This window comes from Homo sapiens, chromosome 12, assembly GCF_000001405.40.
Source record: "Homo sapiens chromosome 12, GRCh38.p14 Primary Assembly".
Lineage (NCBI taxonomy): Eukaryota > Metazoa > Chordata > Mammalia > Primates > Hominidae > Homo > Homo sapiens.
This window is the reverse complement of record NC_000012.12, coordinates 2,999,556-3,024,269: the sequence shown is the minus strand read 5'-3', so window position 1 is coordinate 3,024,269 and position 24,714 is coordinate 2,999,556. Positions and strand designations below refer to the sequence as shown.

The 24,714-nt window shown below is 53.9% G+C and overlaps 1 protein-coding gene across 3 annotated transcripts in view, besides 2 other annotated features; it reads right to left on the bottom strand.

Annotated features, from left to right (window-relative positions):
- TEAD4 (TEA domain transcription factor 4) overlaps nt 1–24,714 on the bottom strand; it is an 81,280-nt gene that overhangs the window by 16,407 nt on the left and 40,159 nt on the right. For 2 of the 3 annotated variants that reach the window (NM_003213.4, NM_201443.3), the window contains 7 exons: nt 13,202–13,266; nt 12,038–12,100; nt 6,744–6,872; nt 5,682–5,725; nt 5,100–5,155; nt 3,497–3,636; nt 2,253–2,426 (listed from right to left, as the gene is read on the bottom strand). In NM_003213.4, the coding sequence (NP_003204.2) occupies nt 2,253–2,426; nt 3,497–3,636; nt 5,100–5,155; nt 5,682–5,725; nt 6,744–6,872; nt 12,038–12,100; nt 13,202–13,266 (671 nt within the window). The remainder of the gene's footprint in view (nt 1–2,252; nt 2,427–3,496; nt 3,637–5,099; nt 5,156–5,681; nt 5,726–6,743; nt 6,873–12,037; nt 12,101–13,201; nt 13,267–24,714) is intronic. The other variant, NM_201441.3, reaches the window with a different exon arrangement.
- Nucleotides 9,793–10,634: an enhancer, noted in NCBI's record as "H3K4me1 hESC enhancer chr12:3122802-3123643 (GRCh37/hg19 assembly coordinates)". NCBI's record gives its function as "activates a minimal SCP1, AML or CMV promoter by ChIP-STARR-seq in primed H9 embryonic stem cells {active_cell/tissue: H9 hESC(primed)}" and the evidence as "EXISTENCE:reporter gene assay evidence [ECO:0000049][PMID:30033119]".
- Nucleotides 20,026–20,907: an enhancer, noted in NCBI's record as "H3K4me1 hESC enhancer chr12:3112529-3113410 (GRCh37/hg19 assembly coordinates)". NCBI's record gives its function as "activates a minimal SCP1, AML or CMV promoter by ChIP-STARR-seq in primed H9 embryonic stem cells {active_cell/tissue: H9 hESC(primed)}" and the evidence as "EXISTENCE:reporter gene assay evidence [ECO:0000049][PMID:30033119]".

The window sequence follows — 24,714 nt, the reverse complement described above, 5'->3', positions numbered from 1 at the left end:
CCCGTCTCTACTAAAAAAATACAAAAAATTAGCCAGGCGTGGTGGCGGGTGCCTGTAGTCCCAGCTACTCGGGAGGCTGAGGCAGGAGAATGGCGTGAACCCGGGAGGCGGAGCTTGCAGTGAGCCAAGATCACGCCACTGCACCTCTAGCCTGGGTGGCAGAGCGAGACTCAAAAAAAAAAAGTGAACATTTTATGACTTTTACTAAATTAAATAACTTATTGGATATTATTACATTGGGATGATGAGGGGGAAAAGTGATGTAACACAGCTAATTTTTTCTACCATAATGAAATGAAAATATAATGTCTTAATCCTGACATCGAGATACAGCAATATAAGCATATTACTTAGAACTAAAGAGATAAAGCCCAAAATAAACAGCTGAAATTTGCAGTGACTACCTTTGGGGATTGGGATTTGGGTGTGGGGAGGAGTAGGACAAGAATATGATGCTTTTCACTTTTTTTTTTTTTTTTGAGACAGTCTCGCTCTGTTGCCCAGGCTGGAATGCAGTGGCCGCCATCTCTGCTCACTGCAACCTCCGCCTCCCACGTTCAAGCGATTACTCCTGCCTCAGCCTCTTGAGTAGCTGGGATTACAGGCGTGTGCCACCACGCCTGTCTAATTTTTTTTTTTTTTTTTAAGTAGAGATAGGGTTTCACCATGTTAGTCAAGCTGTTCTTGAACTCCTGGCCTTGTGATCTGCCCGCCTCAGCCTCCCAAAGTGCTGGGATTACAGGCATGAGCCACCGCAACTGGCCCTTCATTCTCTTTCGTTAAATAAGGCTCCTGGTATTAATTAACATTTTAACCATGAACATGCATTGATTTAAAAAGAAGACCAAGTAAAATAAAATACTACTTATTTTTCATTCCAGAACAGGTTAAAACTCAAACTTTAGTATGATCAAGACCTTCCAGAACCTAACTCACTCTCCCAGTTGTCTCCTCTTATTCCCTCTTTACCTACGGCTTCAACTTCACTCCAGAGCCCACTTCCTTCTGCCTTTACTACTCATGCACTCCCAGGCCGCAACAGCCTTTCCCATCTCTGCCAATAGATGTGCCCATCCCTCAGGCCAGGGTCCAACTTCCATTCCGCTGGCAGAGCGCAAATGCTAAGTGTCTTAAAGGTCAGGGGCCCTAGGTCTCAGTTCCAACACTTGCCCCTTCTGGAGACAGCCTGCCCCCATGTTCAGCTGTGGATGAGAGCCAGGCTGGGAGCTGCTCACCGGGAGCCGGCAAGCCATCTGAACGTCTATATAAACTTCGGTGTGAATATGCCTCTTTCTAGGAAAAGTAAAGCTTTGAGATTATGAAAGTGGTCTGGCAGTAAATAAAGGGTAAGAATCTCTGCACAAGAGGCATTGAAAAGAGCGTGAGGAGAGCTGAAGGGGAGTGGGGAAGAGGGATGCGGGCAGAGCCACCCAAGCCTCAGTCCGTGTCCTGAGAATACTGGAGGCCTCAGTCACAGAGCCTGATTTCCTGCCCTTCCTCACCGCTGGCTTCATTAGCACTTACTTGTCTGACTCTCTCCTCGCACCCCTTTTCTGCACACACTGGGCCCCCAGGAAGCTAAGCTCCCAGAGCAGCTACTGTACCTCCCGGCCTCAGACAAGACGTTTCAATGGAGGAGGTTCCACCCACAAAATACCTGCCCGGGGTGAGGTGGGAGGGCAGCAGAGGCCAAGTCTACAGGCTGAGCTATCTGAGAAGCTGGGTGGGTGTTTCTTGTGGGGTGGCCTCGCCCTGGGGCAGAGTCAGCTGGGTGACCCATCCAACACTTCCCTCCCCTTCTCCAAGCTCTGTTCAGCCCAACATGCCTTGGACGCGAGCACCGAAGGACCAGCTCCAGGCCCGGAAACCCATGCAGGACTTGTCATTCAAAGACCTGGGTGACAAGGGCGCTCCTAGTCATGTCTTCACTTATCCCCGCAGGGTCCCGTTTGTCTTTTTCTGGAACTACACCTCCTCACCTCCTGAGGGCTCCACTGTTAGCCCGGCTTAGCTGCCATCCCCACCCGTGAGACAAGGCCTCGTTCGACTAGGCCAGCTCTCTGGGATCACCGCCCCGCTCCTCGGCTCAGCTCCAACCATCCCATAGCCATGCTGGGCTTACTCTCCCCTTCTCACTGGTGCCACCTCCCCAAGTTTCTACTGTGACAAGGGCACACTCTGGGCACTCTCGCCCCGTTCTCACTACCACGGACACGCTGGTGGCAGGAAAGAAGGGGTTATCACAGGCTTACCCAGAACTTCACAAGAAAAAAGGCATTGGAGGGTCCCCGTTCGAAGAGATCCTTGAGTCCACCCTTTTTCTCCGGGAATTTGTCATAGATTTGGCGGATGTCCACGGCTTCGAGGTAGGGGTCGCTGTAGCTTGGGCTGGACTGGCCAATGTGCACGAACAGGTGCTTGTTGTACTGTGGAGAGAGTGGGTCTGAGGGAGACGGAGCACAGGCCAGACGGTCAGACAGACAACCCTGGCTCTGCGTGCCCACCACGTGACCTGGTGCAAGCCGCTTGGCCTTTCTGGGCCATAGTTTCCCCATGAGTAAAATAGAGATGGTAAAAGTCTACTCCTTTTGTTTTACATCCTGGACTTCTAAGTAAAGGTCTATTTGGTTCATGGGTTCCTCAGCTAAAAAGAAGTCTGAGCCGGGTGCGGCGGCTCACACCGGTAATCCCAGCACTTTGGGAGGCCGAAGTGGGTGGATCACTTGAGGTCAGGAGTTCAAGACCAGCCTGGACAACATGGTGAAACCCAGTCTCTACTAAAAATACAAAAATTAGCCAGGTGTGGTGGCAGGCACCTGTAATCCCAGCTACTCCGGAGGCTAAGGCGGGAGAGTCGCTTGAACTCAGGAAGTGGAAGTTGCAGTAAGCTGAGATCATGCCACTGCACTCCCAGCCTGGGTGACAGAGTGAGGCTCTGTCTCAAGAAAAAAAAAAAAAAAAAGAAGTTTGAAGATGTCAGAGTGAGAAGGGCCCTGGCATCCTGTCACCTTGGCCTCCTCCAGGTCCCCCTCTGACCTTTGCAGGTGACGCTGGTCACCCAGGACACTGGACACCGAAGGGGACAGGCTGGTATCCCATAGGATATGGAGCAGACACAGGAGACTCCTCAGCTTCCTGCCCGCTTCTCAGAACCAGAGAGAGGCTGGGACAGTGTAGGGGTGGGGCTGGGACCAGAGCAACCTTGGACTAAGGGTCGGTTGGGTTAGGAGGGGAGGAGGAACACAGGACAGGGAGGGAGGAGCGTGACGCTGACTGGGCGCTGGGACACGGAAAGGAAGCCAGGGAGGAGGGAAAGAGGGAAGAGGGGTGACGTGAAGGAGGAAAGGAGGAGTGGGGGGAAGGGCAGAAGGGAAGATCGGAAAGGAACAGGGAACTTGAATTAAGCCCCAGCATGGAGTGGGGCAAGACTGCCGGAAGCAGAAACAGAGGGAGAGGGGGTGACCAGGGAGCTGGACAGGCAGAGGCCAGGACCTACCGTGTCCGGGTCCTGCTGCTGCTCCAGGAAGGCAGAGAACTCCAACATCCAGAGCTTGGAGCTGGCCACGCTGCGGCCCTGCCATGGGGGTGCCGGGGGCGCAGAGGGCGATGGGGCGGGCCCTGCAGGAGACTCAAACCCTGCACAAAGTGAGAAAGGCACATGGAACCTGGTCACGGACACCCGCCCTGCCCGCACCCTCTGCAAGGACCCCAGGCCTCCTCGGACAGACCCGTGCTGCCTGGGGGGACCGCCTGTCTCCCTAAATGGACCTCCTAGCAGAGGTGGTGGAGGGAGTGCCAGGCTTGGGCCAGGGCATCCTGGAGCTGCCCTGGTGGGGAGGGGCTCGCCTGGTACAACTCGGGCCACTCAGCACTCTGCATGGAACCGCCGAGCAAGACTGGATTCTGGAGGGCAGCTGGGGCCCTGCAGGACCGAGAGGCTTCCAGAACAGGCACTGTTAAGTTCCTGCCCTCAAGCAACTTCTGTTCCAGTCGGGGAAATAACCAGATGAATCCACTATTACAATATGGCATCATCCCGGAGAGACGGGGACGTTTCCTGTTTGCATCACATGTGTCTCCCCCGCTCCCAGAACAGGGCCTGGCCCAGAAGAGCCCCTCAATCCAGCGTTGCTAACAGATGAACCTACTCCAGTCCTACTGTAGTTTAGATCGTGTCCTGAAGGCACCAGGGGGCCAGGAAGGCACCATAAACCTGGAAGCAACACCGTGAGACTGAAGCTCTGGTGAGTGACAGGGTGACGAGAGGAGGTGAGACGGGACAGCGAGCCGGTGGAGAGGCTGCTGCAGGAACGCAGGCAAAAGCCAGCAGGCCTGGAGTGAAGACATGGTCAGTGTGGACAGAAGACTGGCATGAGACAGAGGGTGGACGGGACCTGACGCTGTGACTTTGTTTTGATGTGTGAACGAGAGAAAGCAGCCTTCAGGACCTGGGGGACAGAAGGCAGCAGGGCTGCTCTTGGTGGCAGGGAAAGCCAAGGGGCCGGGCAGGCAGACTCCACACCAGAAAGGGCAGTTTAAGAGTGAGGAGCTGGTCTTGTCCTACAGAGTGGGAGGTGGTGAGGGCCCCTCCTGAGAAAGAGACGAGGACAGAGCAGAGCCTGTCAGTGAGAGGGCGGGGTGGGGGCTCCTGTCAGCACCGCTGGCTGCCTCCACCAGGTCTTCTCCCACAAGGGTCCCTCTTCTCGGGAGGGGCTCCAGGCTGGTGAGCTAGACACCCCTCGGCCCTCCCAGGACCAGGTGTGTGAGGCACACTGCAGTAACAAGGCCGGCCAAGTGGGGCAGCCGCCAGGGCACGGGCACTGCCCTTGGAACTGCACGTGCCCCACAAGCCCTGAGCACAGCTTTGAGGGGACAGGAGCAAGGCAACCCGAGGGGCATGAAGGGGCTTGGCACACGGCTGAGGTGTGCATGCTGGGGGAAAGGAATGGGGTGTGGCCAGGGACTAGGACGTGTGGTCAGTGTGCATGACGGGGCAGCATCTAACAGGGACACGCAGGCGTTCGGCTGCCGGGGGCCTGGACCCAGAGGCAGGAGCCACATGGCTGCGATAGAAAGGGGGCCACGCAGCGCCCACCCACCTGGCAGAGGCAGCGGAGGCTGGACAGCATAGGTTTGCTGAGAGAAAGGCTTCACACTGCGGGAGAGAGAGGAGGGGAGGTGTCAGCCTCGGGCAGGCCACCGCCCCGGATCCCTGCACTGGGTCCAGTGGTCTGTGTGGTAGGTCCTGGTGGTCTGGATTTCAGTGGTCCCGATGGGCCTTGGCCTCCTACTCCCGCCCCTGCCGACTCCCCTGGGTTTCGTGGCGGGTCCACAGACACAGCGTGTCTGCTGAAGAAATCCACCCCTCCCTCTCCTCCTCCCAGGCCAGCCAGAGGTCTGCTTCCCAGCCTCCTCCCCTGGGGGACCCCAGCTCTGGCCCTGCCTATACCCTGGACAGACTGGAGTTTTGGCAAATACCACCCTAGGGTGTAGACATCACAGATGAGCCCAGTGATGGCTGACAGTAGAAGAGCCCAATCCCTGAGCTCAGAGCCATCCTGAAAGGCCGACCCCAGCAGCGGCCCCAGCACACCCTGGGGCCCAGGCTTAATGCCATGAGTTTATGGGTTCAAGTTCAGTTCAGGGAGCAACTGGCAAGAGAAACCAGAGGCCATACTCACTCATGGGACGTTCCGGCTTGGCCTGGCAAAGCTCCTTGCCAAAACTGAGGAGGCAAAAGGCATGGAATCAGCACGGCCCCAGGTGCACCCGGGGCCCTGTGGTGTGGGGGTGGGGGTAGGACCGGGCAGGGCCTCCACTGGGAGGAGAGGCTGGAGCCCGAGGCCTCGCCTAGCTAGTGAATGCTAACAGGCCACAGCAGCACCCCCAGAGTGAGTTTCAGGGGGCTCTCAGGCCCTGTGGAGGAGGGGCTCCATGGGAAAAGCACCCAGGTGTGGTCCACACAGCACAGGGCAACTCCTGCAGAGTCACAGTGCAGACCTAAGGCTCAGAAAAGTCCCAGTGCCAAGAACCCACTTAATGCCAAGGGTCCCAAACTTACTCACAGAACCACTGTGTCCTATCTGTTTAACATGCAGATGGACTAGTGCTCTCTGGGACGCACTTTGAAAAATGCTGTGGCCTGGCACTGCCCCTTCCCCACGTGCCTAGGGCGGTGCTGCAGGTGCCTTGAAGACTCATTTAGTCCCTGGAGCCAAGAAAGCCCCTGTGAGGAGACAGCTCTGAAAAGGGGCCTTTCTGGATCATTCTGAGAGTGTGGCCAACATGGTCATGGCTGGGAAAGTTAAAATCTGACCAGGGGTTTGTTTTTGGGGCACCAGCTCTCCACCTGGCAGGAGGGCAGGAATGAGGCTGCGTGGCACGAGCTGCCCAGGTACATGCTGGTCTCAGGCTTCCGCTCAGCCCCCTTGGCTTCAGCTTCCTCATCTGTAAATTAGGCCAACATGGCAGAGCTACCAGGTGGTCAGCTCCTGGAAGCTCCCCCTTCCCCCTTGTGAAGTCTGTGGAGTCATTGCCGAGGACCCCAAGAAAGCCGTCCCAATACCAGCCAAGCCGGGATGTGTGTGGCCCTTGGGTCCTTGTTCCCTCCTTCCCTGACTGCCCTGGCCAAGAGGACTCAGGTGAGAGAAATCTGGGCTGGCCAATGCTTCTGGCTCTTCTGAACAGGGAGGAGGGAGGAGGAGAGGGCTGGCCTGGCCTCCAGCTCTCGGCAGCCCACTTACCCCTGAGACTGCTGGGCGGCCGGGGCCCCGGGCGAGGGCCATGCTACTGTGGAAGGCCGTGGCGGAGATGATCTGTGCAGACGACATGGCAGCCATGCTCTGCAGGGCCTTGTCCTTAGCTGCCTGGTCCTGGGGGAGACATTGCAAGGGAGGACCTCAGCAGGGTCACTAGTCAGGCTGAGGCCAGGCAGGTCCGGCCCTCGGGTCAGGGAAGCTGTCTCGCTGCCAGTGGCCAGAGCTGGGGGACCAGGCGTTAAGTCTGTGCCGTGCTATTAACTTGTTTTGCAACTGAGAAAGTCAGCTGGTTTCTCTGGTCAGTTTTCTCATCTGTCAAAGGGGCATGATACTTGCCCTGCTTCTTTCATCAGAGCTTACAGAGACATTATCTGTCATTTTATTAATTACGGGGCCACCTTCTATGCCTTGCTCACCTCTCTACCACAGGTGCCTAGCTCAGCACCTGTCTTGTGAAAACGATGCATGAATATCTGCTGGATCCCTCCTCGAGTGCACAGGAAGCATCATCCCTGGCCACACGGGCTGTCTGGAGGCAAGAGACCACCTCCTGTGGCCCCTCCTGCCTCAGTCCTGCCCTAAGGATCTCCCTGGGCACTGTAGGCACCTGGGACTCACCCATCTTTCATGTGTCAGAGTGTAAATACCCACTGTCTGCCCTCCAAAGGTTCCAAGACCCCAGAGGATGGGTTCACCCTGAATAGGCCCGGAACAAATAAGCACACAGGGAAAGCCACTTGGATGGCACGGGTAACAATAGTAATCGTTTGTTATATTCATATAAGCCAGTGGTTTCCATCCTGAGTGCCCGAATTCCAAAGGTCTTCAAAACCAATGACACAACATTCCCTATTTCAAGAAGCCTAATGGAAACTGTGTCTTTTTCTTCTTCTTTTTTTTTTTTTTTCCAGAGACAGGGTCTCACTCTGTCGCACAGGCTAGAGTACTGCACAATCATGGCTCACTACAGCCTCAAACTCCTGGGCTCAAATGATCCACCCATCTCAGCCTCCTGAGTAGCTGGGACCACGGGCATGCGTTACTGTACCCAGCAGGGATTATCCAAAATAAGACCACACACACACGGGCTGGAACAGCAAGTATTATTCACTGTCTGCAGCTTTATCGGGGCTAAATGGCTCGACTGAGTCAACTCAGGGGCTCTGATTAGAAATTTGATACCTGGCCGGAAGTGGTGGTTCATGCCTGTAATCCCAGCTCCTGGAGAGGCTGAGGTTGGTAGATCGCTTGAGCCCAGGAGTTCTAGGCCAGCCTGGGCAACTTGGTGAAACCCTGGCTCTACAAAAAATACAAAAATTAGCCAGGTGTGGTGGTGTGTGCCTGCAGGCCAAGCTACTCAAGGAGCTGAGGTGGGAGGATTGCTTAAACCTGGGAAGCAGGGGCTGCAGTGAGCTGAGATTGCACCACTACACTCCAGCCTGGGCAACGGAGCAAGAATCTGTCTAAATAAATAAATAAATATCTTTATGATGATTATTATTTTTTCAGACAGCATCTCATTAGCCCAGGCTGGCCTCAAACGCCTGGCTTCATGTGATCCTCCTGCCTCGACCTCCCAGTGCTGGATTATAGGCATGAGCCACCGCCCCCACCCATGAATTTTTTTTTAATGACAAAGATAAAACCATTATTGAATAACTAATAATAATTAACTTGGTAGACCTGGATCTCCCTTAAGTGATACAAAGGTTGAGAACCTCCCAACTACTTGGGAGGCTGAGGCAGGAGGATGGCCTCAGCCCAGGAGGTCGAGGCTGCAGTGAGCTGTGACAGCACTACTGCACTCCAGCCTGGGTGACAGAGTGGAGTCTCTAAAACACAAACTAAAAACAGAAGTTGAGAAGCAACGGTGAGCCCTGCAGCTCGCCAGCTCTTCCGAGGGATGCCTCCACGCGGTCCACACGCAGCTCCATGAGGTGGGCAGCACCGCGGCCTGGAGGCTCAGGGAGGCTCAGAGAGGCTCAGTGCTCCCCCGCCATCCTGGTGCCGTGCAGGTGTGAAGCCAGAACACAGCAGGCCCTTCCACTCATCCTCTCAAGGTGACCATTTCACCCATGTGGCATGAGGCAGCCCACGGAAGGTTTTCAAGAACACAACCTCACTGAGTCCTGTGAGACTGACAGGACTTGTAGGATCATTAAGATGAAGAAACTGAGGCTCTGAGAATTTGGGTGACTAGGGTGCTGAGAGTGGTGATGGTGACCAGGTGAGCTTGGACCAGACTGGCACACGGGGGGCCATGCAAACCAAGGGGTCGGGGGAGACGCACCATAGAGGGCGGTGGGGAGTAGGGAACTGTTCCGAGTAGTGGGTCATTGTCGATGTGGACAAAGCAGTGAAATAGATGAGGTTTGTCCCTGGCCCCCCTTGGCCCCCTCCCCACTGTCCTTTTGGGGCCAAACTTGGGCTTTGCTCTCAGAGGCTGTCTCTGATAACCAAAGAGGGAGCTAACTAGTAAGTCTAAGTGTGTGTCTCCTCCCAGGACACTTGGAATTTTCAGGAGGAAAGTGCCCAGGCCAGCCCCTGACCTCTCCCCGCAGGAGGGCATGAGGGACTTGGCAGGCGCACCCTTGCGAGCCCGAAGACCTCGGCACTTAACAACTCCATCACGAGGCCGGGGCTGCATCTACTCAGTGCCTGCCTTCCTGGATACTCGATCTAAACAAACGGCTGGGGCTCAGGAAACCGCGGCCTGGGCAGGGTGGGGCAGGGGTCAGAGGAAGTGGGAAGGACCCGATGGGGAGTGACAGCAGTAGCCGGGCAATGGAGCCAGGGAGCCACTAACCGGGGCCGGGAGGGGAACTTGGATGTCACCTTGCTCGCCTGTCACTTTACAGATGAGGAAACTGGAGCTCCAGGAGGTCCCAGTGACTCTGCCCAAGCACTCACGGCCACGGGGCAGAGCCAGGCCTAGGACCCAGCCTCTCACTCAGGGATTTCTATTGGATCACTGTCCAACCCAGAGCTTAATCACTTTGGGTTCTAGATCCTTTGAGAATATGACAAAATCCTCACAGCAATCTCTCCAAGGCAACTCACATATACATGAAAATTTGCATATTTTAAGGAGTTTATGGCTCCCCTTGGTGTCTGTCCAGCCATCCACTGAAGGCTGTCCTTGGGCCCCAGGTCAGAACCTGTGGACAAGGACAAGTACAATTCCCTGAAGCAAATGTGGGCCACACAGCCGGCCCCCAAGGGATTGCCCTAAACCCAGTAGTGGGAAGTCTGTTCACCGTGGTCATCTGCAGGGTCCCGGTGAGTCAGAGGCAGACGAAAGAGGGGAAACAGGGAGCAGGGCTGGGTTCCATGGCTGTGGAAGCTGAGGCTGAGAGGCGGGAGCAACAGCTGAGGGCTGGTCAGCTGTCCCAGGGAAAAAGGAGCGAGGTGCCAGGCCACAGCTGTGGGGCTTGGGGAACAGCTGGGCTGATGGCAGGAGGAATGGAACTGAGTGGGCAGTGGGGTGTGGCTTCCTAGGAGGCAGAAAGGTCTGTGGTTCCCACCCACTCGTTCTGAGATTCCAGTGTCAGGATCATGAACTGCCAGGGCCAGAAGGGACTTTCAAGGTCATCTAATTCAGTGGCTTTTCTTTAATATAAAAAATATTTTCAGAGATGGGGTCTCACAATGTTGCCCAGGCTGAAGTGGCCAGTCACAGGTGCAATCACAGCCCACCGCAGCCTCCAACTCCTGGCCTCAACCTCCAAGTACCTGGGATTACAGGCGTGCATGCCCAGCTAGCCCAGTGGCTTTTTTTGAGATGGAGTCTCACTCTGTTGCCCAGACTGGTGTGCAGTGGCACTATCTTGGCTCACTGCAACCTCCACTTCCCAGGTTCAAGTGATTCTCCTGCCTCAGCCTCCCGAGTAGCTGGGATTACAGCTGTGTGCCACCACACCTGGCTAATTTTTATATTTTTAGTAGAGACAGGGTTTCACCATGTTGGCCAGGCTGGTCTTGAACTCCTGACCTCAAGTGATCCGCCCAACTCGGCCTCCCAAAGTGCTTACAGGCGTGAGCCACCGCGCCTGGCCTCCCAGTAGCTTTTAAACTGGATTCTGAGGTCCCCTAGAGTTCAAGTTCCATGGGGTGGGAAAGGATGCGCGGGAGGAGAGGAGCTTTGCCAACCTAGCTTTGACCAGAACGGCTCCTCTGATAACACATCAGGGTGATATTTTGTTGGGGGAAGAAAAGAAAAGGGGCTACATTGCTAAAAAAAAAAAAAAAAAAATGTTTGCAGGCCAGGCCCAGTGGCTCATGCCTATAATTTCAGCACTTTGAGAGGCCAAGGCAGGAAGATCTCTTGAGCCCAGGGGTTTATGACCCGCTCAGGCAAAATAGGGAGACCTCATCTCTATAAAAAAATAGAAAAAAATGGCCGTGCAGTGGCACTTGCCTGTGGTCCCAGATACTCAGGAGGCTGAGGTGGGAGTGTGATTGGAGCTTATGAGGTCGAGGCTGCAGTGAGCTATGACTGCGTCACTGCACTGAGCGTGGGTGACAGAGACAGATCCTGTCTCTAAAAATAAATAAATAAAAATGTTTATAAATGGTCTAGACTTAATGCCTCAAATGTCAGATCTTCCCACCAACTTGCTGTGTAGCCTCTGTCGTCATCACCTCCCTGATGGAGAGCTCACTCCCTCCCAGTGTTCACCCAAAGGCCCCTGGTTCCAGGGTCCCAGAGGCCTGACTCCTGTGGGGAGCAGGGCTACCCCGAGGGGAATGCCAGCAACATCAGGCCCCCCAGAGCCATCACCTATCAGCAGAGGCCCTGCAAGACGGGGCTGACCCAGGGAAGGGAAGGAACACCCAGTCCCACAGGACAGGAAGCAGGAAGGAATTTGCCAGCTCCCACAGTACCATAAACGCCACCCCCACCCCCACAGCAGGCACCCCCCCATGCCCCTGCCACTCCGCATGCTCTGGTCGAGGGCACTGAGGGGCCCTCAAGAAATGAGGGCTGGTGGGTGATCCGGCTGCTCTGAGCCGTGTGAGCCCCTCTAAGCAGGAGCCAGCAAGGGGGGATCCCAGCAGGAGCCTGGCCTGTAGCTCCCAGGGTGTGGGGAGCCAGGCATCCACACACTTGGCCCTCTTGTGCGGATGGGAGAGAGGTTACAGGCCCAACCTGGCTCTCCTCAACAGAGAGAAAAGCACACTGACTTGCACACCAGCAGTGATGCCCTGACCCCAAAGGGAAGATATGCTGCTGGCCACCACTCCTGGCCACTCCAGCACCCCCACTGCAGTTTCCTTACCTTTAGCTTGGCCTGGATCTCGCGAGCTTTGCGACGAGCCAGCACCTGGATGTGGCTGGAGACCTGTGGCAGGGAGAGAGGACTCCTGTCTCTACCTCCCAACAACCTGTGTTCCCCAGCCTGGCTTCCTGACTCTCGCCCTCCACAGCCCTCAACCCACATCTGTGGACCAAATGAATGAATGAATGAAAGGGTCAACTGGTGGGCCCTCAGTCCTGCCTTGCCCAGCTAATCCAGAAACCGGCAGTATTTCAAAAGTGCAGTGCCGGCAGGGAGCAGTGGCTCACACCTGTAATCCCAACACTTTGGGAGGCCAAGGCAGGTGGATCACTTGAGGTCAGGAGTTCGAGACCAGCCTGGCCAACACAGTGAAACTCCATTTCTACTAAAAATACAAAAATTAGCTGGGTGTGGTGGCGCATGCCTGTAATTCCAGCTACTCGGAAGGCTGAGGTAGGAGAATCGCTTGAACCTGGGAAGCGGAGGTTGCAGTGAGTTGAGATTGCGCCACTGCACTCCAGCCTGGGCAACAGAGCAGGACTCTGTCTCAACAACAACAAAAAAGAAAAGTAGTGCCAATGTTTTACTGTCTGTCCTAGTGTCCTGGAGAAGGATGAGATGGGGGCTGATGACTTTCCAGAGAGGCGAGGGGTTTCCTCCTAAGTGATGGCAGCAGGGACCCCAAGAAAACTGGACCACCCGGCCGGGGGTGGTGGCTCACGCCTATAATCCTACCACTTTGGGAGGCCAAGGCGGGTGGATTACATGAGGTCAGGAATTCGAGACCAGCCTGGCCAATGTGGTGAAACCCCGTCTCTACTAAAAATACAAAAAATTAGCCGGGCATTGTGGCGGGTGACTATAACCCCAGCTACTCGGTAGGCTGAGGCAGGAGAATCACTTGAACCCAGGAGGAGAAGGTTGCGGTGAGCCGAGATCACGTCATTGTACTCCAGTCTGGGCAACATGAGTGAAACCCCGTCTCAGAAAAAAGAAAGAAAAAGAAAACTGGACCACCTGTGACACGCCCAACAGGGATAACTCATCCAGAGCTGCCGCCCCTCAAAAGCCTGCGTCTGGTCCTGGGAGGGCCTGGCCCACCTTGGGAGCAGACTGGTGCTGGGGTACCACCCCCGGGACCCCTACCCGTCTCTTGAGGCCCACCTGCTTCCTGGTGCGGGTCTTCCCTGTCCGGAGCTTGATGTAGCGGGCAATCAGCTCGTTCCGACCTGCAGAGACACCAGCAGCCTCTCAGTGGAGAGAAGGACAAAAGGCTGGAAGCAGTGAGGGGGTGCGGGGTACCTTCTGCGGAGGAGCCCTGCCCTCACTCTCTGCCCATCCTAAGCGGATTTGTGGGGTGAGGATTCTGTGGGTTCCCTCTCTGGATCACAGGGATCTCCCAGCAGCGAGAGGAAGACAAGGCCTCACTGTGGGGACTGAAACCCGAGAACAAGGTTAACAGGGCCCGTGGCCACCAACCACGCACAGCCTGAGGAACTTCCAGAGCCTCCCTTGACCCCCGGTACCGTTCCTCACCCAGCGCTGGCGGCCTCCTCTCCTCTCCCCACACTTTCTCCTGGGCCTTCTTCACACTTGGGAGGCTCCAGGGAGCTGCCCGGCCCTCGGCCTTGCCCTGTGTGACTGCCACCGTGCCCTCCGCCTCTGTAAACGAGTAGAAGCGTCCAGACTTCTTGTCCTGTCTGCAGGCAGCAGCGGGCATGGGGGGTGCAACTGCTGGAGACACTTAGTGTCCCTGGAGAGGAGGCCTGAGCCCGTCCGCTCATAAAGAAAAGCCAGTCAGTGCACATGTGCAGCCCCATGGCTGACTCAGACCCCTCAACAAGGAAGGTTGAGCACTCTCCATGGGCCCAGCCCCCGAGGGACTGCTGCTACGCCTGAAGCATCCTGGAAAACCCCAGAGCATCCATGGTTTCCAGTATTGAAAAAGATGATGGAAAGGGGTTCCTTATTTCAAAGCATTACCTAGTTCAGGAGCGGCATGTGCCCACACAATGGAATCCAGGGGTGCTACGGACAGGGACGTGTTCAGAGGACCGGGGGCCAGTTCGGGCTGGGTGGTCAGGCAAGCCCTTGGGTGGCCCTTCACCCCTGGCTAGTGTTAAACCATACGGAGAAGCATCGGATGAGGAGAGGCAGAGCAAGAGGGTTTGAGTGGGGGGATCAGAGGGAGCAGGTGCCAGCCCGCCCTGTGCTGCGGAACCGGGAGGGCTTGCGGCTGTCCGTGGGAGGCAGCTGCTGATGCCCGGGGAGGTGAGGGGAGTGGGCTGCCTGCCACCTGGGTTGTAACCAGAGTGCACGGCCAAGGCCAAGCTGACCCCCCAGCTGACCTTTCCCCAATGCCAAGGCCGAATTACGAGGCTACTCTCCAGAGGTACTGTCTGCCAGAAAAGGTGTGCTGGCCTGGGACCACTGCCTCGTCTGTGTCAGAGGAAGGAGTGGGGGGAGAATCGGAGTCTGGGGACACTGTCTGTGGTCTGATCTGCACCTGAAACCCTGAGTCCACAAGATGTCTCCTCTCAAAGCTTTCTAGGGAAAGGCTTTGGCGGTCCAGTGAACGGTCGACAGTTCTACCCCAGGTCTAACTAAAGCCACCCATGCAGCATCTCGGGTCTAAGTCATCACCGGTGGGTGAATGAAGTAGGGCCACAGACCTGGGAGCTGGTGAGCCAGGCTAGAGCCTGGCAGCTCCACCAATGAGCTTTGGGAGCACGGTAAGTCTCTTCCCTTTAAGGACTTTCACTCAGCCTTCTCTTCTTCTTTATTTTTATTTTTTATTTTTTTTAGACGAAGTCTCGCTCTTGTCCCCCAGGCTGGCGTGCAATGGCACGATCTCGGCTCACTGCAACCTCCGCCTCCCGGGTTCAAGCGATTCTCCTGCCTCAGCCTCCCAAGTAGCTGGGATTACAGGTGCGTACCACCATGCCCAGCTAATTTTTTTGTATTTTAAGTAGAGGCAGAGTTTCACCATGTTGGCCAGGCTGGTCTCGAACTCCTGACCTCAAGTGATCCACCCGCATCAGCCTCCCAAAGTGCTGGGATTACAGGCGTGAGCCACTGCACCCAGCCCAGCCGTCTCTTCTTAAATCTAGTTCCTTTAAGGTTTTTCCCGCAGATTCTTCCAAATTTCTACAGATGTAGGAAACAGACCTCAACGCTGGCTCAGTGAGAACACTCTGTGGCTCAGTATCCTTTTCGGTAAAATGAACATGCTCTAGGCCCAAGTAAGTAACCCAGCTCAGAGACTAGTCTACGGGCAAGGAAAAGCATGAGGGAAGAAGAGAGGTTCCCAAGAGCTGCGAAGTGGGTGACGGTGTAGCAGGAGGGATGGGGATGGCAGACCATCTGGGATACGGTTCTTGGTTGCTCCTCTGGCCCGTCCCTTGCACACAGGATATCGTGTGCTCATCAGTTATCCATGTCTGTCTTTCCTTGTTAGACTCTCAACAGCTCAGAGGAAGAGACTATGCCTCCATTCAAGTCTGCATCTCCAGTACCTGGCACCTACTCACTGAATGAATGAATGAGTCTGGTGTGGCTCTACCTCCAAAACATATCCAGAATTCATACAGCCACTGTGCACCACCGCACCCTCCAGGGTCCAAGCTCCCGCCATCTCTGACTTGGATTAGGATCATCACCTTCCACCTGTATTCCCTGCTCCAAGTCTATGCTCAACACAGCAGCTGCAGCGACCCTATCGAAATTCAAAAGCCCTCCAATGGCTTCCATCTGCCCCAGATTAACAGTGTCCAAGTCCTTACAACGGCCTGGAAACCCCTGCAGGATCTGGCCACCCCAGTTCAGTCACCTCTCTGATCTAGTCTACCCGATCCATCCTAAACTTCTTGCTGTCCTGAAACACACCAGGCCCACACCTGCCCCACTATGGTCCTTGTGCTTCCTGTTTCTCCTCCAGGGAACACTCTGCCCCAGAGTCCCACACCACCTGCACCCCTTGGGTGCCACTGTCTCTTCCCTGACCACCCCACTGAGGGCTGAAATCATACTCCTACCCGCCCACCCTGGCACCCACTGCCTTTACTTTCCTCCACAGCACCTTCTAGCATAATACATAATCTAACTTATTTCAGTACTGTCTGTGCCCTCACCCCCGTCAGAACCACAGTCCATGCGAATAGGGATTTTTGGTCTATTTATTCACTTATTTATACCCACCACCTAGAAAACTGCCTGCACATTGTAGGCGCTCAATAAATACTTGCTGCCTGAATGATGAGGGAATGAATGCTAAGATGCTGGTCAGATGTCCCGTAACTGTTTTAGCCTTCTAAGACAAAGGAGTAAGTTAAATACATGCAAATAACCTTTTACTTCTGATTAGTCCGACGTAACTCTTAAGGCGCTGTCCTATCCTGGTCTCATTGAACTTTTCTGTACATGAGCAAACCCAGACTTTTGTGAGGCCTAAGACATTTAGCAATTGGGAGGCTCCCTTTGGGAAAAAGAATTTTAAAAATACAAAATTAGGTTAAAAACTTGGGGGCAATGGACACATTCATTATCTTGATGGTGGTGATGGCTTCACAGGTGCATACATCTGTCAAAATGTATCAACTTGGCCACTTTAAGCATGTACAGTTTGTTGTAATGTCAGTTATACTTCAATGAAGCAAAAATTAAGTTTAGGGACTTGGAAGGGGCCCATGTAAGTGCTGGGTCCTAACGCGTAAACCTCATTAACTTCACAGTAAATCCACCTCCTCCCTGCAGTGGGCAGGTAATTATACCTATTTGCCAGAGAACTGCACCAGATCACCCACAGCAGACCTAGGACTAACTGCCCAGGTGTGACTCTTGGCTCAGGTGCTTGAATATGGCCCGAGGCCTGGCCAAGCGAGGATGCTTAGTTAATGGAACCTCCTCTCATCAGGCAGGACTGCCCCGTAACAGTGCTGCTTCCTCTGCAGCCTGTGGTGAGAAGCAGTAGGGAGGCCTTGGCCCCCATCAGCTGAGACCCTAACCCCAAACATCACAGAGGACTCAGCCTCTGCAAGGAGCCCCTGCCCACCACCCCACAACTACCCTCACCCTCTGCCACAAGGTTCCAGGGCTCTGCTGCTAGAAAGGCCGTCTCAGCCCCCGGCGAGAGGCTAGTAATGGGGCGGGACAGGAGCCACACCAAGGGGTCTAAGGCAAGCTCAGCCGTCTTCTTTTTTGTTTTGTTTTGAGAGGGAGTCTCGCTGTCGCCCAGGCTGAAGTGCAGCTGGTGTGATCTCGGCTTACCGCAACCTCCACCTCCTGGGTTCCAGTGATTCTCCCACCTCAGCCTCCCAAGTAGCTGGGATTACAGGCGCACACCACCACACCTGGCTAATTTTTGTTATTTTTAGTAGAGACAGGTTTTACCATGTTGGCCAGGCTGGTCTCGAACTCCTGACCTCAAGTAATCTGCCCATCTCAGCCTCCAAAAGTGCTGGGATTACAGGCATCAGCCACCACACCCGGCCCATCTTTGTATTTTTTTTCTTTCTTCTTTATTTTTGATTATTTTTATTTTTCACTTTTTTGAGACGGAGTTTCGCTCTGTTGCCTAGGCTGGAGTGAAATGGCGCGATCTTGGCTCACCACAACCTCCGCCTCCCAGGTTCAAGTGATTCTCCTGCCTCAGCCTCCCAAGTAGTTGGGATTACAGGCAACGCCCAGCTAATTTTGTAGTTTTAGTAGAGATAAGGTTTCTCCATGTTGGTCAGGCTGGTCTCGAACTCCCAACCTCAGGTGATCTGCCCACCTCAACCTCCCAAAGTGCTGGGATTACAGGTGTGAACCACCACGCCTGGCTTTTCTTTCTTTTTTTAAACTGTACATACTGGTTGACTAGCCCTTATCTAAAATGCTTGGAACCAGAAGTGTTCCAGATTTGGGGTTTTTTTCAAATTTGGGGGCTATCTGCACTATATACTTGCCAGCTGAGCATCCCTAATCCTAAAATCCGAAATCCAAAACGGTCCAACGAGCATCTCCTTCGAGGCACACATCTCAAAAAGTTTCGAACTTTGGAGTATTTCAGATTTTGAATTTTCAGATTTGGGATGCTCAACCTGTATTTATGGGGTACAAAGTGATGTTATGATATACGTATATAATCTGCAATGATTGAATCAAATAATTAACATACCCATCATTTCAAATACTTATCATTTTTCATGATGAGAACATGAAATTTACTTTCTTAGCAACTTATGAAAAATGCAATACGTTATTATTCGCTACAGTCACCATGCTGGGCAATAGGTCTCCAAAAACATTCCTCCTTGACTGGGCGTCATGACTCACACCTATAACCCCAGCACTTTGGGAGCCTGAGGCAGGAAGATCGCCCAAGCCCAGGAATTCAAGATCAGCCTGGGCAACATAGTGAAACCCACTCCATCTCTACAAAAAAATAAAAATAAGTCTGGGTGCGGTGGCTCACGCCTATAATTCCAGCACTTTGGGTGGGCAAGGCAGGCGGATCACGAGGTCAGGAGATTGAGACCATCTTGGCTAACACAATGAAACCCCGTCTCTACTAAAAATACAAAAAAAATATAGCCGGGCATGGTGGCGGGCGCCTGTAGTCCCAGCTACTCGGGAGGCTGAGGCAGGAGAATGGCTTGAACCCAGGAGGCAGAGCTTGCAGTGAGCCGAGATTGCACCATTGCACTCCAGCCTGGGCGATAGAGCGAGACTCTGTCTCAAAAAAAAATAAACAAACAAAATAAATAAAAATAATAAAAATAAAAATAAAAAATTAGCCAGGCGTGGTAGCACATGCCTGTAGTCCCAACTACTCAGGAAGCTGAGGCAGGAGGGTCACTTGAGTCCAGGAGATTGAGGCTGCAGTGAGCTGTGATCACACCACTGCACTTCTGCCAGGGAGGGAGAGTAAGACCTTGTCTAAAACAAACAAAACGGAAAAACAAAAACTAGAAACCAAAAACATTTCCCCATCTAACTGAAACTATATTCTTTGACCAACATCTCCCCGTCATGCCCGCCCCAGCCTCCAGTAACCACCATTCTACTCTCTGCTGCTGTGAGCACCACTGTTTTAGATTCCACCTCTAAGTGAGCCCTCTCGGCATTTGTCCTTCTGCGTCTGGTATATTTCACTTGGCATACTGTCCTCCAGGTTTGTATTTGTTAAAGTTGTGCTTTTCCCTGGCTGTCTGTGGAGCTTCCTCCTCCTCTCCCTTGCTGGCTCATCTCAGACCCTCCAGCCTCGTTGTGCTGGTCAGGGGTGATGCCGGCAGTTGAGAACCCCCCGTGAGGGAGTGAAGTGTGGGGTGTCTGTGGGTGTGTGAGCCAAGGGGACCCAAGCAGCTTCCTTCCTGCCACCAGGGGTGCTCTAGAGGTCAACGCAGCCATCTCCCTGCCTCCAGGCCAGCTGGCATCTAATCCAGGCTTTACACACAGAGGGAGCTGCCGTGGCCTGTCACTCCTGTGAAAATCTTGATGACAATGAACACTTGCTGCATACCTCATCAGTACAAGTATCTGTGCGGATACAGATATGTATCCTGTGACAGCTTTATCTGCATTCACCCTTTCGATCCTCACAACAGCTAAATGAGGGTGGTACTGTCATCCACGCTACAGACAGGGAAACAGCAAGGTTGAGAAATCTTCTCAGGGTCGTAGGCAAGCATGTGGCTGAGATTCGGGTCCATGTAGTCTGGTGCCAGTGCCCATCTGTGGCTACTGCATGGTACCACTCCGAATGAACAGGGAATTGGAGGTCACTTCTCTCAGAAGCAGGGCTGGACCACGTGACTCTAGAGGTCCTGTTTAGCCTGATGAAGATGAAATGGAAGCCCAGAGAGGGGAAATGACTTATTCACAGTCTCATGGCTTGCTAGTGTCCCAGGCACCACGAGAAGGTATGTTTTCCAAGGCTGCCCCAGTGCTTCGAGAGTATTACATGCTGGCTATTTCCCCCCAGGATATGCTCCCCCGACAGGGCTGAGCTTCCTCCGCAAGGGACGATGCTGCTCCTTCCCTTTGGATCAATCCCCCCGATTCCTAAGTCTCTGCATGAGGTAAGGTCCCGGAGGGAGATCCAACTACTTGGACCTGAGGTCCTGCCCACCACTCATGGACAGTGGTACCCACAGCTGGTGGGAGCCAGCGTATCCTGGATCATGTAGACACCAGAAGGCCCCCAGAGTCAGGGGCAAGAGGGGAAGGGAGTAGGGAGCGTGGGCCTACAGGTAGAGTGTGGGAACCACAGTGAAGGCCGGCAAAGAAGGGCCATGGCAGTGAGAAACTTGTAAAGCACCCAGCTGAGGTGGTGGCGGTGGGAGGGGCTTGTCCTTGTCCTTGTCCCAGCTCTGCCCCTAGCTGCATAACCACAGGCTTCTCCCTCTGGTGGCTGAGAACACAGGCTGGGGAAGGAGGAGGCCAGTCAGGCAGCTGCGCATTGCAACGTGGCAGGTGGCCTCGGCCAACCCCAGGGCCGGCCTGGGTGGGGATGGGAAGGACACCCCTGCCAGACTGTGGGCCCATCTGTCCATCTGTCAGAGCACATGTGTCCGACAGCCCCCAGCTCACACCCACGGCCCCACCCCACCGGGGGCGAAGGCTGCCCGTGGAGAAACAGGAGCCTTGGCCTAAAGGCTGAGGGTGGAGCATTCCTGATGCAGCATCCAGGAGGAATCTCCGCTTTCTCCTAGCCCCACACTCAGCCTCACACACACCCTGCCGGCCACCTCCGCCACATAGCACCACTGAAAACGTTACCCCAGCTGCAAAATCCTGCCTGGGCTAGGTCATTTCTGTATCTCATTTCCTCTGTGCTGAGTCCCCTCTCTCCATGGCAGCCCACCCCCTAGACCATAAACTGTTAAATGGCATGGAGTAAGTAAAGCACGCACCACTCAGCAGAGGGCCAGCAAGGTCAGCGATTACTGTTAATATTGTTAACGAAGCCCTATTATAACGAATGCTATTAGCTTTCAAACTTGAAAAGGACTGAGGAGCTGAGAGCACAAGCCTCCCCACCCAAGAGTGGGTGGAAGTGTGCGTGGACATCTTTGGTTCACTGTAGGCCTCTGGTGGAGTGAGCAAGTGCCACACTGCACCCCTGTAGGTTGGGGCTCAGGGAGAGGAGGCTGGGCACATCCTTGCTGCCCCACCCTAATCCCCAATGGCCTGGAAGCGGGGGCCAGGGTGTGTGTGTTGGGGGTGCAGCTATCCAGGGATCAACTGAAGCCATAAACACCTGGGGCTGGAGAAGGAGGCTATTTGTGGAGAAGGAACTTCTGACTGAAGCCTGAGAAGGCAGCAATTGGGCCTGACATTTGAGCTGTTCCTACCATTGTCCCTGGAGGGCTCTGAGGCTTCTGGTGAAATCAGCCAGGCTTCAAGGCCACAGCTCCAGGAAGCCCCAAGAAGCTTGCACTGCTCCCCACCCAAGAGGGCATGCCCATTCCTGCCTCGGTGTCTGTCCTAGTCATGCTCCCCCGCCACACTGTGAGTTCCTTGAGGGCAGGTACGTGTTCCCCTCACCCCGTGCTGTGCATTTGGCACCTACTGTGTGCTCTCATCCCTACGACAACACTAGAAGGCAATGTCTTATTCCAATAACCTCATGGAAAGATGCTCCACAACACTAATCATCAGGGAAATGCAAATCAAAAACCACGAGATAGCGCTTCACACCCACTAGGATGGCTATGATCCAAAAAATGGAAAATAACAAGCGCTGATGAGGATATGCGAAATCAGAACCTTTGTTCATTGCTGGCGGGAATGTAAACTGATACAGCTGCTGTGGAAAACAGTTTGGTGGTTCCTCAAAAACTCAAACATAAAATTACCACATGAGCTAGCAATTCCAATCCCACAAGAACTGAAACCAGGGACTCAAGATACCTGTACACCAATGTTCACTGCAGTATTAGTCATAGTAGTCAAAAAGTAGAAGCAATACAAATGTCTATCCACAGGTGAACAGATAAGCAAGATGCAGTCTCTCCATACAATGGAATATTACCCAGCCTTAAAAAAGAGGGAAATTCTGAAACACGCTACAACATGGATGAACCTTAAGGACATTATGCCAACTGAAATAAGCCAGACATAAAAGGGGAAATATGTATGATTACATTTTTTTCTTTTTGAGATGGAGTCTCACTCTGTCATCCAGGATGGAGTGCAGTGGCATGATCTCAGCTCACTGCAACCTCCACCTCTCAGGTTCAAGCAATTCTCGTGGCTCAGCCTCCCGAGTAGCTAATTACAGGTGCACACCACACCCAGCTAATTTTGTAATTTTGTATTTTTAGTAGAGACGGGTTTCACTGTGTTGGTCAGGCTGGTCTCGAACTCCTGACCTCGAGTGATCTGCCCGCCTTGGCCTCCCAAAGTGCTAGGATTACAGGCATAAGCCACATGAGCCATCACGCCTGGCCTGATTCCACTTTTTTTTTTTTTTGAGACAGAGTCTCGCTTTGTTGCCCAGGCTGGAGTGCAGTGGCATGATCTCGGCTCACTGAAACCTCCGCCTCCCGGGTTCAAGCAATTCTCCTGCCTCAGCCCCTGAAGTAGCTGGGACTACAGATGCACACCACCACACCCGGCTAATTTTGTAATTTTGTATTTTTAGTAGTGACAGGGTTTCACCATGTTGGCCAGGCTGGTCTCAAACTCCTGACCTCTTGATTCACCCGCCTCGGCCTCCCAAAGTGCTGGGATTACAGGCGTGAGCCACCGCGGCTGGCTTGATTCCACCTTTATGAAATGCCTAGAATAGGCAAATCATAGAGACAGAAAATAGAACAGGCTACCAGCGGCTATAGGGGCAGAGGGGAATGGGGAATTATTGTTTAATGGGTACAGAATTTCTATTTGAGATGATGGAAAAGTTCTGGAAATGGATGGTGATGATGGTTGCACAAAAAGGTGAATGTACTTAATGCCACTGACCTGTACACATAAAAATGGCTTAAATGGTTAATTTTACGTAATGTATATTTTTCTCACAATAAAATAAATAAACCAAATCACCTCCCACAAAGGTAGTAGTATTATGACCTCCACTTTACAAAAGGAAAATGAAGCCCAAGGAGGTTAAATAACTTGCCCAAGGTCACGCCAGCTCTCAGGGACAGAGTAGATTTGAACACTCCCGTCATCAAGTCTCCAGGCACCTGAAGTCAGGGTTGTAGGCCGCAGGGAGGAGCATAGGAGCAGCTGGAAACCCACAGGGCAACAAAGCAAAGAGGAGCAGAGAATCCTGCAAATGAGGCCATGGTGAAGAAGCGGGGGGCAGGAGCCCAGGTGAAACTCCGTGACCTCTGTCCCATCACCTTTGTGAAAAGACCCTCGACGTGCTCTATCTAGTCCCAAACTCAGGCTGAGTCTGGTCCCGGTTCTGCCTCTTATTAGCTGTGTGACTCATCCAGAAAACGAGGGAATCCCTTCACCTCTGACAGTCTGACGAACCAACAGTGCTTTGCCCAGATCCTCCACCAGGGTCCCCCAAACCCACCATGTGAAGTCTCGCCTCTAGACTGATGCTCACAATCTCTCCACCCCCTTGCCTGGAGCACTGCTATGGTTTGAATATTAGTCCCCTCCAAAATTCATGTTGAAATGTAATCCCCCATGTGGCAGTATGGACAGGTGGGCCTTTAAGGAGTGATACGGCCCTGAAGGCACTGCCTTCACGATGGATTAATCCACGCAGGGATTAATGAGCTAACAGAGCGCAGGAGTGGGACTGGGGGCTGTCTCCGAGGAAGAAAAGGCCTGAACAAGCACACTCGGCCCCTTCGCCACGGGATGCCTGCACCACCTCGGGACTCTGCAGAGTTCCCTCCAGCACGAAGGCCCTCACAGATGCAGCCCCTCAACCTTGGACTTCCCAGCCTCTGTAACTGTAAGGAATAAACTCCTTCTTTATAAATTACCCAGTTTCAGGTATTCTGTTATCAACAACAGAAAACAGACCAAGACAAGCACTCACCCTCAGCTCTGCTTCCTTCAGGAAAACTCCCAAGATAAATCTGGTTAATATCGGCTGTGGACAACCCCAGTGTCTGCTTGGGTGGCTAACTGTCCAGAGAAGTTTTTCCTGCCCCTCTCATTAGACCATGAAGTTGTGGAGAGCAGAGACCACACGGCCTCAGCCCGGCCTGCCCAGTGTGGGGTGGTCACTTAATGAGAACTGACGGGCTGCTAATAGGATGGCCCACCTGGGACACAGGAGGGGAGAAGCAGAGAGAGAGGCAGGGAAAAGAGGCAGGAAGACTCGGGAAAGTCAAGAGCAACCTCAGGAAGGTGAGAAGCACAGGAGGCAGAAAGGGATGAATGCAGAGGGAACCCCAGAGCCAGCCACAGCCCTCCAGAGAGCAGGAGGCGGGACACGAGCCCACCCGGCCAGCACTGAGTGTGAGGAGCGGGGAAGGCGGGGAGCAGGCAGAAGGGGGCGAGAAGTTGTTCGAATCCCACCACCTGCACGCTAGGCTAGGCCGACTGTGAGCCTGGCCAAAGGAGGTCAGGGTGGCCAGCGTTGGCTGTGCCAGGGGGAGGGTCACACAGTGACAGGGCAGAAATGAAAGCGGCCGTGAGCAGGAGAAGGCAAGCACCCCGGGCTCGGGAGCCGGCCCAGGAGGGTAAGAGGTGCTCAAGGGGAGGGCTGGAGCCAACAAGCG